The 12571-nt window shown below is 37.0% G+C and overlaps 1 protein-coding gene across 27 annotated transcripts in view; it reads left to right on the forward strand.

The window, feature by feature from the left end:
* CEP192 (centrosomal protein 192) overlaps positions 1 to 12571 on the forward strand; it is a 133675-nt gene that overhangs the window by 44818 nt on the left and 76286 nt on the right. For 15 of the 27 annotated variants that reach the window (XM_006722326.4, XM_005258107.4, XM_047437562.1 and 12 more), the window contains 4 exons: positions 1058 to 1122; positions 2191 to 2400; positions 4651 to 4777; positions 6025 to 6155. The exons of 4 other annotated variants lie outside the window; for them this stretch is intronic. In XM_006722326.4, coding sequence (XP_006722389.1) covers positions 1058 to 1122; positions 2191 to 2400; positions 4651 to 4777; positions 6025 to 6155 — 533 coding nt within the window. The remainder of the gene's footprint in view (positions 1 to 1057; positions 1123 to 2190; positions 2401 to 4650; positions 4778 to 6024; positions 6156 to 12571) is intronic. 8 more of the 27 variants (XM_047437566.1, XM_005258109.4, XM_047437567.1 and 5 more) reach the window with 2 other exon arrangements.

Raw genomic sequence — 12571 nt, forward strand, 5'->3', positions numbered from 1 at the left:
ATAAGAAATGGTCACTTAACAAGGTAAAGAACTAGCACTGTTCTGACAGGTAGGAAGCCTCAGTGGGCTTTGGTGCTCTGCTTTTCCTGAACAGAAATATCCTGTGTCTGCTTTTCTTTTGTCTTAGGTTGTGAATGTGGGACACAGTCTAGGGTCGCAAAGGAGCAGTGTGGATCTGATTGGTCCCTCATGGACACATGATAGTGGGGAGCCTCCGTCATGTTTGGGCCATGAGTGGACTGTTCCCTCTGGCTCACCATTCACTTTTCTCCTTTCTGCTCCAACCCTGCAGTGCCAGGCAGAGGCCTAGAGTGCTACAGCCAGGCAGTCTAGCATCTGGCTGGCATACATTTCACCAACACATTTAAAGTTCTTGGCGATTCTGATGCCTCAAGCAGGGTCTTGGGCCTCCTAGTTTGCCACAAATCCACCACTCCCAGTTGTGTTTCTGGCCCTGGCCCTCTTTGCCCATTTGCCCCATCCCTCTGAGGCATTTTAGTGATGGCCTTTGGCCTGAGGTTGAGTGTGCTTAGGCTGGCGTTCCTTTCCCAGGGAGGGCTGAGGTGCTCGGCAGCAGCCTTGAGGGCAGACATTAGGGGACTCCCAGTCTTTGTCCGGACCGGGGTTTCCTGGGATGGGGGGCAAGCGGTCCTGGGGCACGCTTGTAGCCATCTTCATGACAAGCTTATAGAGGGCTTATCAGTCTGATGACTCCTGATGAAATTCCACCAGCATTCATGGATGAGTGCCTCAATGCAAGAGTGCCAAACTCTCCAAAGCAAACATTAATTTTAGAGAGAAAAAGCTTTCATTGTAAAGCCCCTGAGTAAATTGGGGTACGTTAGTGACAAAATAACTACAGCAAGGTGTTCTTTAGCAAAAGTTTGACAACCACAGACTTAAGCATTTAATACAGATGCATGAGTCATGAGTGCAAGCTTTTACATACTTGTTACAACTTTATTTCCTTAGTATTTCATTTTCCTAACTTGTATCTGTGTGCTAGTGTTTGTTTAGGCATTAGTGTAATGTATTTATATAAACATTCTTTTTTAAGCTGAAGCATTTGATTTGATTGCACAAGATGAAGAAGAATTTAATAAAGAGCATCAATTTATACAGGTTTGTAATTATTTGTTTTATCCAAAATTTAAAATTTTTCCTGTATTAGTGTAAGTGTAGGCACAGTGTTCATTTCTTTCTGAATATATGGTTAGTATAGAATTATTTCATATTTTTCTTATGGCTAGACAACTTCTGCTTTTTCCCTCATACTCTAAATAAAATACTCTAAATTATTAATTGAAGATCATTGACATACTGAAATATATCTTTAATTCACTTAGAATTGCTTTAATGGCATTAATGGATATTTCCATAGTTTATTTTTATTTTTTGAGACAGGACTTGCTGTGTCACCCAGGCTGGAGTGCAGTGGTGATCATAGTTCACTGCAGCCTCAAGCTTTTGGGCTCAAGTGATCCTCCTGTCTCAGCCTCCTGTGTAGCTGGGATTGCAGGCATGTGCTACCATGCCTAGCTATTTTTTTATTTTTTGTAGTGATGGAGGCTTGTTACGTTGCCTAGACTTGTCTGGAACTCCTGGGTTCAAGCAATCCTTCCATCTTGGCCTCCCAAAGTGCTGGGATTACAGGTGTGAGCCAGTGTACTGGGCTGTATTTCTATAGTTTTAAAATATGTTTTAAAGTGAGGTAATCCTGTTTGTTTTTTTATGAAGATTCTTATTTATGACAATCTTATTTCAATCTTATTTTGAAGATTCAAAATTTATGATAGTGTTTAATGAAGCAATAGATGAAGATAACATTCTTCTTATTATTTTTCAGATGGGGTCTCGCCATGTTGCTCAGGCTGGTCTTGAACTCCTGGGCTCACATGAGTCTCCCATCTTGGCCTCCCAGGTAGCTGGGATTACAGGAAAGCGCTGTCATGAGCAACTCATGATCGTGTGTATTATAACTCAAGTGTTCAAAAATACTCATTTTCCTTTTCTGGACTTCATTAGCTGTGGTAGCTGATGATGCTTCAGTTTGTCCAATTTTTTTTTTGTCTAGTTTTTCAAAATTACTTTTTAAATTTTCTTGGTAAGACTTTTTTAGTTTTTGTATATTAGAACAACAGAAAAGTGACTTGCTGGGGGAAAGAAACGAAACAATAACTTTCTCCCTAGGAAGAAAACATAGATGCTCATAATACTTCGGTTGCACTGGGCGATACGTCCTGGGGAGCTACAATTAATTACAGTCTGTTGAGGAAATCACGTAGCACATCAGATTTGGATAAAGATGATGCCAGTTATTTACGTCTGTCTTTAGGAGAGTTCTTTGCTCAAAGATCTGAAGCTCTTGGTTGCCTTGGTGGTGGTAACAATGTGAAAAGAGTAAGTATGGAATCTGTTGGAAGTGCTCACAGTCACCAGATTTTAGATTTTGAGTATTATGATGGCACAGTGACTTTAAAATGGAGATAGAATAGGATGGGACAGAAGAGTGGTAAAAAACTTAGGTTTCATCATCAGTCAGACCTTTACTGCAGTTCTAGCTCTGTCTTTTAGCTAATTCTGGGACATTGAGCAATTTAACTCCTCTGTGCCTGAATTTCCCGTTTCTTAACAGCACAGTTTTATAGGGCTTTGTAAGATTTAAATGTGACGGTTCATGTAAAGCATTTAGCACTAAACCAACATGTAATAAGTATTTAATAGTTGTTCATTGCTGTTGTTATTGTTGGTTGGTGTGAAGAATTCTAAAATTGCTTTTTAAAAACTATTGTCTAAAGAGATGTTTTGAAATATAGAAGTGTTTTGATTTAATTAAATGTAATGCATGTACAATTAAAAAGACAAGTTATTCAGATAGTGATAAGTCCTGTAAAGCATGAGTGAGGAGAAGGAGCTACTTTAGCTATGCTGGTCAGGCTGACATTTGGTGGAAGACATTGAGTTGGCATCTCAGTGATGAAAAGGAGGCAGCAGGGCCAGCGCAGTGGCTCACACCTGTAATCCCAGCACTTTGGGAGGCTGAGGTGGGCGGATCACTTGAGGTCAGGAGTTCGAGACCAACCGGCCAACATGGTGAAGCCCTGTCTCTACCAAAACTATAAAAAATTAGCCAGATATGGTGGTGCGTGGCTGTAATCCCAGCTACTTGGGAGGCTGAAGTAGGAGAATTGCTCGAACCCAGGAGGTGGAGAGTTGCAGTGAGCCGAGATCACGCCACTGCACTCCAGCCTGGGCAACAGAGCGAGACTCCATCTCAAAAAAAAAAAAAAAAGTGATTTTTTTCTTGTGAGAAGAAATAAGACTTTTCCCTCCATTAGTGACCTGGCCCTTGTCTGTGTGCAGGCCTGGAGGTAGGAACCAGGGTGGCATATTGGAGGAATGGAAAGCAGGCAGGCAGAGCTGCTCTGAGGAGCAGGGTAGGCAGGTATGAAGGGAGAATGGCAGATGATTCCAGGGGCCAAATCATGAGGGCTCCTGGTAGGAGGGGGGTTTTATCTCAGATGAACTGGGAGGAAGTGCTTAGAGGCACAGGGCAACTTTGTTGTGGTGCCAGCCCATCTCCAGGTGCAGCAGCCTGCCGCCATATGTCAGGTGCCCAGGTAGTGAAAGTCAGCAAAAGACAGAAGAGGGAAAGAAGCAGGCAAACACTTAGGAAATGGGAGAGATGTGATGAAGGCTGGGGACAAGGATGACCTAGTAGAAGCAGAGAAAAGGGCAAGAATTCAAGATTTATTCTATAGAGTCAAAGAATTTGTTGATAAATTCCACAGAGGGTATTAGGGTTATTGGAGGGATTGTTTAGCAAAACTGGATTTCATTAAGAGTATGATTTTGAAATAACAGATGTAGTGTTAGAAGTCACAGCTGATTCATAGAAGTTGAAGAGTAACTGAATTCCTTATTAATGGAATTATAGTAAGGAAAGATAAGGTGGGCAAAGCACTGGATCATGAAAAAAATGGATCTATTATTTGGAATTTTTGTTGTGGTATAAGTGATGACGTTTTATTTGCATTCAAGTTACTGAATCAAGGGAAGAAATTAAGATATTAATCACAATTAATAAATTAATCACTTGGGAAAGTGAAGACCAATAAAAAATTGAGTGTATTTAATGAGTTCACATTTTAGTTCTGTCATGTGACTGCTGTATAAGAAAGACAAGTGGAAACTGCCTACCCTTTAGCAAGCTCCTTGAATGCAGACCTTCCAGAAACTTTCATGCAAATTGGTAGGAGCGTCCCTAATCTTAATACACATTTTTCAAGGATGTGTTTATTCTATAAAATAAAGTACCTTTATATTGTAATTTCCAGGAAGCAGGAGTTTTTATCTGCTGCAGGTGTGAGCCACTGCGCTTGGCCTCATTTCTGTTGTTTTAATTTGAATTTCTTAGTAAGGGCAATTTATTTGACAATGTGAGTTCTAATGGTTAAAAGGTAGCTAGTATTAAGGAAATGAAAGGTTCTACCTGGACCTTTGAAGGTCATCTCTAGTAATTTGAGGTTAAGTGGGAAGAACAGTTTTTTGATGTCATTTAGCTGTTTTACCACTATTAGATAAAACAGTCTAGAATTTCTCAAAGCAGTTGAAAATCAAAGAAATAATTTACCTTTAATTATTTTGTAGCCATCATTTGGCTATTTTATTAGATCACCAGAGAAGAGAGAACCTATTGCCTTAATAAGAAAATCTGATGTATCAAGAGGTAATTTGGAAAAAGAAATGGCTCATCTTAACCATGATCTATATTCAGGTAATGGATTCAATGAAGGGGCTTTTAGGAATCTTTTTTTTCTTAAATGCGTAACTTAGGGGTTAAATGGGTGACCGTGTTCTTTATGAGTGAAAATGTATATAACACTTTGTAGTTTCTCAGTGTTGGTTATAGATTTGATTCATATGTAACCCCATATATCCTTTTCAATCTAAAGTGGAAACAAGTCAGCCAAAATCTACCTAAATTTGTAAAAACCACAGTAAATGAAATAATTTCAGATGGGCTAGTTAATGTTGGCTATTGAATTATTGAGTTAATTAATCGTAGATATAATTTATTATTTAGGATGACTTTTAAAGAGATGTTTTGAGATTTAGACTATGATAATCTATGATAATTTTTATGATAAATATAATATTTTTAATCAAATATTCTTGGTCAGCTTGGAATTATCATGCAGCTACTTTTTGTTAGTACAATGTCTTGTGCTACATATCATATAAAGTTGTATAAGATATGCTGCATTCCTTAAAGAGCCTGTATTCTAGTAGGGGAGTTGGGACAAAGGGTCCATGTATACAGAGTCAGCTCATTTTCCATTTCTCTAAAGATGCACCCACTTATTTCTTTCTTTTCTTCTCTTTTTTTTTGAGACAGTCTCTTTTTTTTTTTTTTGAGACAGAGTCTCTCTCTGTCACACAGTGGCGTGATCTCGGCTCACTGCAATCTCCACCTCCTGGGTCAAGCGATTCTCCCACCTCAGCCTCCCGAGTAGCTGGAATCACGGGCTCACGCCACCATGCTCAGCTAATTTTTTGTATTTTTGGTAGAGATAAGGTTTCCCCATGTTGGCCAGGCTGGTCTCAAACTCCTGACCTCAAGTGATCCGCCCACCTCAGACTCCCAAAGTGCTGGGATCACAGGCATGAGCCACCGCACCCGACCAAGAAGTACTCAGTTTTAAATTCAACTTATTGTATGTTTGTGAAATGTTTCAAGCTGAAAAATATTGAATGAGTTTATGTGTGTATTTGCAAGGGAAAGATTAAAATCCACAATCCTCCTTCAAAGTTTGGACTCTGCAGCATTGAGCCAAATTAACTATGTTGTTGTTCTCTGTCCAAGTGACTATACGTTTAAACCATTATAGTGAAGGCAACTGACATTTGGGGTACAAAGACATCTTCCTTGGTAAATTAGTCATTTTGCCTGGTCCTTATTCCACAGACTGTGTTTGTCAAATAGTGTATACTTATAAGTTGAATATTATATATTTCCTGCAGGAGATTTAAATGAACAGTCCCAGGCACAGCTAAGTGAAGGATCAATTACACTTCAGGTTGAAGCAGTAGAGAGTACTTCACAAGTGGATGAAAATGATGTGACGTTAACGGCTGATAAAGGCAAAACAGAGGTAGCTTCAGCCTTTCGTAAGGAAATCTAAGATTATCTTGTTGTAGTTCTTATCTAGGATCAAGACGAGATCACCTGTGAAAAATTTATGCCGTTTAACATCTTTTCTTTCCTGGCTTCAGATTTCTTGCAAGTGTCCTTTAAATTTTTCTTTTTAAGTTTTTGTGGCGATATAATATACACACAGATGAGTTTATAAAACAGATTTGTAGTCAATGAATGAATTATCACAAGTCATACACTTGTGTATACCTCAGATCAAGAAAGAGAACATTGCCAACAGCTCAGAAACAAGTTTTTTTGCCGCCTCCAGTTACCTGACCTTTAACCCTGTATTAATTTTATCTGATTCTAAACTTCACTTAAAAGAAACCATGTGGCATGTATTCCTTTTCTTTGGCTTTTTTCACCTCACCTTACATTTGTTAGATGAGTATAATATAAACTTATTTTTATTACTGTATGGTATTCTGTTATATGAATATTCTATTGCTTTTATATCCATTTGTATTGTTGATGAAATTTGGGATATTTCCACTGCTGGACAATTATAAAACAATGCTCCATGAACAGCCTAGTACCTGGGAAGTGTGCAAACGTTCATATGAGGTGTGTATGTCGTAGGGTTTGCATACTTTCATTTCAGTGGTTTTGACAGTTTTCCAGAGTGGTTGTACCATGTAGATTTGTTCAAGAGTGTGTGCTTCCTGTCACCGCATGTCCTCGCCAGCACCTGGCATTACTCGTTATTCTGGTGGGTGTACAGTGGGGTCTTCTTGTCTTCATGTACATTTCCCTGATTACTAATAAAGCTGGTTCTTGCTCATGTTTGCTGGTCATTAGGAGGCTTATTTTATGAAGTGCTGTCCAAGTCTGTTGCTCATTTTTCCAATGGACAGTTCGTTTTATTTGATTTGTAGGTGTTGTTTACATTGGATAGGAGCCTTTTGTCAGTTATGAGTGTTCCATGTGTCTTCTCCCAGTCTGTGGCTTGCCTTTTCACTTTTTTAATGGTATTTTTATTTGTTGATTAGGCCATGCTTTCATTATTTCTCTAATGTGCTAACTTTGTCATAAATCAAATACCATGACATCGTGGGTATATTTCTAGAGTCTCTCTTGTGCTTCTTCGGTCTGTTTATCTATCTTGTGTCAAGATGACACTTGAATATTGTAACTTTATTATAATAAGTCTTGATATCTGGAAGAGTAAATCCTCTTGTATTTTTCTTTAAAAGTATCTTGGCTATTCTTGGCCCTTTATATTTCCATGTGTGCTTTACAGTCACATGGTCAGCTTCTACACACCAACCACTAACCACCAACAACCCTGTTGGACTTTTTTGGGGATTAAATTTAATTTATGGAGCAGTAAAATTGACATCTTTATAATATTGAGTCTTCTAATCCGTGAAACTAACATATCACTTCATTTATATGTTTTAATTTCCCTTTGTATTTTATGAGTTTTGTGCAGATTTTTCACATCATCTTGTTAGATTTCTTCCTAAGTTGTTGAAACTTTTATTTTTAATTTTTGTGGGTACATAGTAGTTGTATATATTTATGGGGTACATGAGATGTTTTGGTACAGGCATGCAATGTGTAATAATCACATCATGGGAAGTGGGGTATCCATCCCCTCAAGCATTTATCCTCTGTGTTATGAACAATCCAATTATATACTCTTAGTTATTTGTAAATGTACAATTAAATTATTTTGACCCTGTTGTGCTATCAAATGAAACATTAATATTATGTTTCTTAACTTTATTTTCTGTTTGTTTTGGCTAAACAAATACACAATTGTATTTGTTTTTTAAATATACTCACCTTATATCCAGCAAATTTACTTATTAACTCTAATTATCTATCAACTCTTTGGATTTCCTGCATACATAGTTTTGTCATCTGAGAATAAAAGTTTTATTTCTTCATTTTTAATTTTTATACCTTTGTTTCTTTGTCTTGCCTTCCTTGACTGGATGGACCTCAAAAGAGTATTGATGTCATGATGTTGGGTTTCCCTCATTCATTGGGAACTCTTTTTGGTATTTCATCTTTCAATTTGATGCATGGTGTAAGGTTTTTGTTTTGTTTTGTTTTAAATTACTGGATCAACAACGTGGTCTTCTAATCTTTGTTCACTAGTTTTTTGTTCTGTTTTGGATTTGGTTTTCACCTTGTAAGAGGATTGAATCTTGCCGAGTGCTTCTCTAGATCTGTTAAGAACATGAGCTTGCTCTGTTTTGTTGATGTGATGAATTTTGTCAAATGATTTTTGAATATTAAACTATTCTTTTATACTTGAAATAAACCTCACTAGGGTTGTAATGTGTTATCTTTTGATATATCATTGGATTTGGCGTGTGCTAATAGTTTGCTTAGAATTTTGCATTTTTGTGAGTGAGATGAATGCTCTTTCTTATAATGTTCTTGTCTGGTTTTGGTATCAAGGTTTTACTGGTCTCATTTTTTCTGTTTTCAGGAAGAGTTTTTGTAAGATTGGTGCTTTTTTAAAGATTTTGGTAGAATACATTGGTGAAATCACCTGAGTCTGGTATATTCTTTATCTAATGCCTTTACTTGCAGATTCAATTTCTTTAATAGTTGTAGTACTATTCTGATGTTTTAATTTTTTATGTCAGTTTTAGTACATTGTAATTTAGATTGTAATCTTCCTCTACACTTGAAAATTTATTTTACTATCATGCTGACCATAATATCCTCTTGTGATTAATATCTTAGGTTGTTAAGCTATGTCTCTTTTGTTCATTCTATAATTGACTGTTTTCCCTCTCTTTTTCTTAATCTCACCAGATACTTTCAATTTTGTTAATTTGACAATTTTATTTATTCTCAATTCTGTTTGTCTTTCTATTTCCTATTTTCTGGTCTTCATTTCTTTCCTTCTACTTTCTATGGATTTAATGTGTTGTTTTTCTAACTTTTTGAGATGGATGCTTAGTGTGCTTATTTTTCTGCCTTCCTGCTTTTTCAGCGGTGTAAGTGCATGGGATACGTGTAGGAGATTTTCTGGTTTTTGAAATAATTGATTTAGGCCAAATGTACTGTAGTCAGAGAATTTTTAGTTTTAGGCCTTTGAAATTTGTTTAAATATGATACATAGCTCAGCATTTGTTCAATTTTTGAAAATATTTTCTGTACGCTTGTAGGGAATGTCTGTTATGTGACTTAATGTCTGCTTCACTTAGGTGAGATTTAAATCGGAATGCTCAAGCTGCCTGCATTCTTAAAATTATTGTGCTGTTTTAAAATCTCCCACCATGATTGTGGGTTTGTTAATCATTATAGGTATATCAACATTTGCTTTAAACATTTGAAGCTATATTTTTAGGTGCATACAAATTGTGCATAAAATTTGTTGCATTAAATTCTTCATAAAATTGTTTTGGTGCATAAAAATTGTTCTTGCTAACAAATCAAATCCTTTATTGAGCATGTCTCTCCTCAGTGTGTAGTAATGCTTTTTTCCTAAATCTAGTCTGAGATTAACAATGTCAATACCAGCTTTCTTTGGTTAGTGTTAGCATGTTATATTTTTTGCCATTATTTTACTTTTAATCTTTCTGTATCTTTATATTTCAGATGTTATAGGGACATACTGTTGGATTTTGCTTTTCAACCAGTCTGACAGTCTGTATTAGCCTGTTTCTTGCATTGCTATCAAGAAATACCTGAGACTGGGTAATTTATAAAGAAAAGAGGTTTAACGGGCCCATAGTTCTGCAGGCTGTATAGGAAGTGTGGTGTGGGCATCTGCTTGGCTTCTGGGGGGGCCTCAGGAAGCTTGCAATCATGGCAGAAGGCGAAGCGGGAGCAGGCATGTCACATGGCCAAAGCAGGGATGGGGAAGGTGCCACACACTTCAAACAACCAGGTCTTAGGAGAGCTCACTCACTACCGCAAGATAACACCAAGCCATGAGGGGTTCACCGCTATGACCCAAACACCTCCCACCTGGCCTCACCTCCAACACTGGGGATTACATCTCAACATAAGATTTGGAGGGGCATCCAACTATATCACAGTCTTTCTACTTACACTTAATGGAATTTCCAGCATGGGGGTTTGAATCTGCCCACTTTATTTGCTTTTTATTTGTTTCACCTAGACTTTGTTCTTTTTCTTTTGGCATTCTTAGAGATCGTTTAAGAGTTTTATATGATTCCAATTTTCTCCTCTGTTGATTTGGTAATTATATATATTTATATTATTTTAATGATTACCCAAATAATTATAACCTGTCTCTTGGCTTACTGATGTTTAGTAAAAATTCTTTGTTTTCTTTTAAATGTCTTATTTGGCATTCCAAGGATCACAAAATACTCAATTTACTCCATACTTAAAAAGCTTTTCTTGTTTTATGTTTTATTTCTATATTTAACCCAATAAGACATGATGATGATTTATAAATAACCAGTATTTCTGATCTTTCATCTGAGATTAGTTTTCTTCTTAAAGAATATCCTTACTTTTTTTTTTTTTTTTTTGTAAGGGACTGCTGATAATGAATTTTGTTTGTTGTCTCTCTACAATGTCTTTATCTCCCTGTTACTCTTGATATGTATTTTTGCTTGCTATAGAATTGTTAGCAGCAACTTTTAGCACTTTGAATGTATTTTTTCATGTCATTTCATTTTAAAAGTTGGCTGTCAGTCTTTTGTTATTTTTCTCTTTGGTTTTTATCCATCTTACTGTGATGTGGTTGGGTAGCTTTTGTTTTACCCTACAGTTTAGAGGAAAAATCGTTGAAATAATTTGAGGCTAAGGGAGATGATATCTTCCAGACTGGATTTATGTCTGCTTCTGACAGGGAGCAAGGAACACTGGCAATTGCAGATCACTTTCATTCGTTTATTGGAATTGAGCTGATTGGAGCTGAGCCTCATCCTTATGAGAACCAGTTGGATGCTGGTTTACCTTTACTGCTGGGGTGTATCCCTTTGTGGTCTCATCCCAAAGCATGGATGTTTTACTGTGGTATCTTTCTCTCCCTCAAACATACACACACACACACACACCTCCTAACCCCCCAATGCCAGTCATTCATTGGCAGATTCAGTTTTTATACCTGCACTCCCACAAGAACAACTTTGCTTAGCCTTTTCTTGAAGCAGCAGATATGCTTAGGGAACAGCATCCCCAGTGTTGGGCTTACCTCTCTGGGTTACTTTCTTCTCTTAGATTTTGGCCCCATAAATTTACACTGCTTTTTAAGCTTGCTGGTGCTTTCAAAGATAAGTTTTTGAGTATGCTATTCAGTTCTAATTGTTCTTAGCGAGAGGTTGGTTTGCTTTACCTAGTCTGCTGTTACTGGAGGCAGAAGTCTTAACATGTATTTTTTGTTGTTGTTGTTGTTAAATAGTTTATGTTTCTTAACTGTTGGGCCTATTTCAGTTTTTTACTCATGGTTCCTATTTATGTCTTTCTTATAAGTAATTCTAACAGTTGAATGAAATTACCAAGAATTATACTTGCAATCACAATGACTCAGTGGCTTTTCAATCTCAATATCTTAAGTTTTTGGTTTTAAATTATTATCTGATTCAATTTTACCATGTCTTTCATTCCTGATGATTTTTAAAAAACAAATGATAATCAATTTTGTAAATAACCTGGTACTATATAATTAAAGTTGATAGCAGCTGTCTTTTTCATTAGGATATTTAACTGGTATGCCCTTAATTTTTTTGTTGCCATTAGATCCTACATCATGCTTATAAAGATCAAACTAATACAGTAGCCTGCTCTTTTCCACAGTTTTGCCTCCTTCAGTTTTAGTTACCCATGGTCAACTGAGGTGCAAAAATATTCAGTGGAAAATTCCAGAAATAGTTCATAAGTTTTAAATTATATGTCTTTCTTAGTAGCGTGATGAAATCTTCCCACCAATTTGCTCCATCCTGGTAGGATGTGAGTCTTTCTTTTGTCCAGCTTCTCCACCCGTCTTCACTTGTTGCCCGTTAGTCACTTAGTAGTGTTTGGTGATCAGATCGACTCTAGGGATGTTGCAGTGCTTGTGTTAAAGTCACTCTTATTTCGTAATGGCCCCAAAGTGCAAGAGTAGTGTTGCCTGCAATTTGGATACACCAGAGAGGAGCTATCAAGTGCTTCCTTCAAGTGAAAAGAGGAAGGTTCTCGACTTAATAAGGAAAGAAAAAATAATGCTGAAGTTTCTGAGGTCTGTGGTAAGAATGATCTTTTTTATGTGTAATTACAAAGAAGGACAGAGAAATTCATGCTTTGCACTCCAAACTTCAAACGTTCCAGCCACAGTGAGTGATAAGTGCTTAGTTAAGATGGAAAAGGCACTACATTTGTGGGTGGGGAAGATAGGAACAGAAACATGCTCTGATTTATGGCAGTCGGATTTGGTACTATCTGAGGTTTCAG

The sequence above is a fragment of the Homo sapiens genome, chromosome 18 (assembly GCF_000001405.40).
Source record: "Homo sapiens chromosome 18, GRCh38.p14 Primary Assembly".
Classification (NCBI taxonomy): Eukaryota; Metazoa; Chordata; class Mammalia; order Primates; family Hominidae; genus Homo; species Homo sapiens.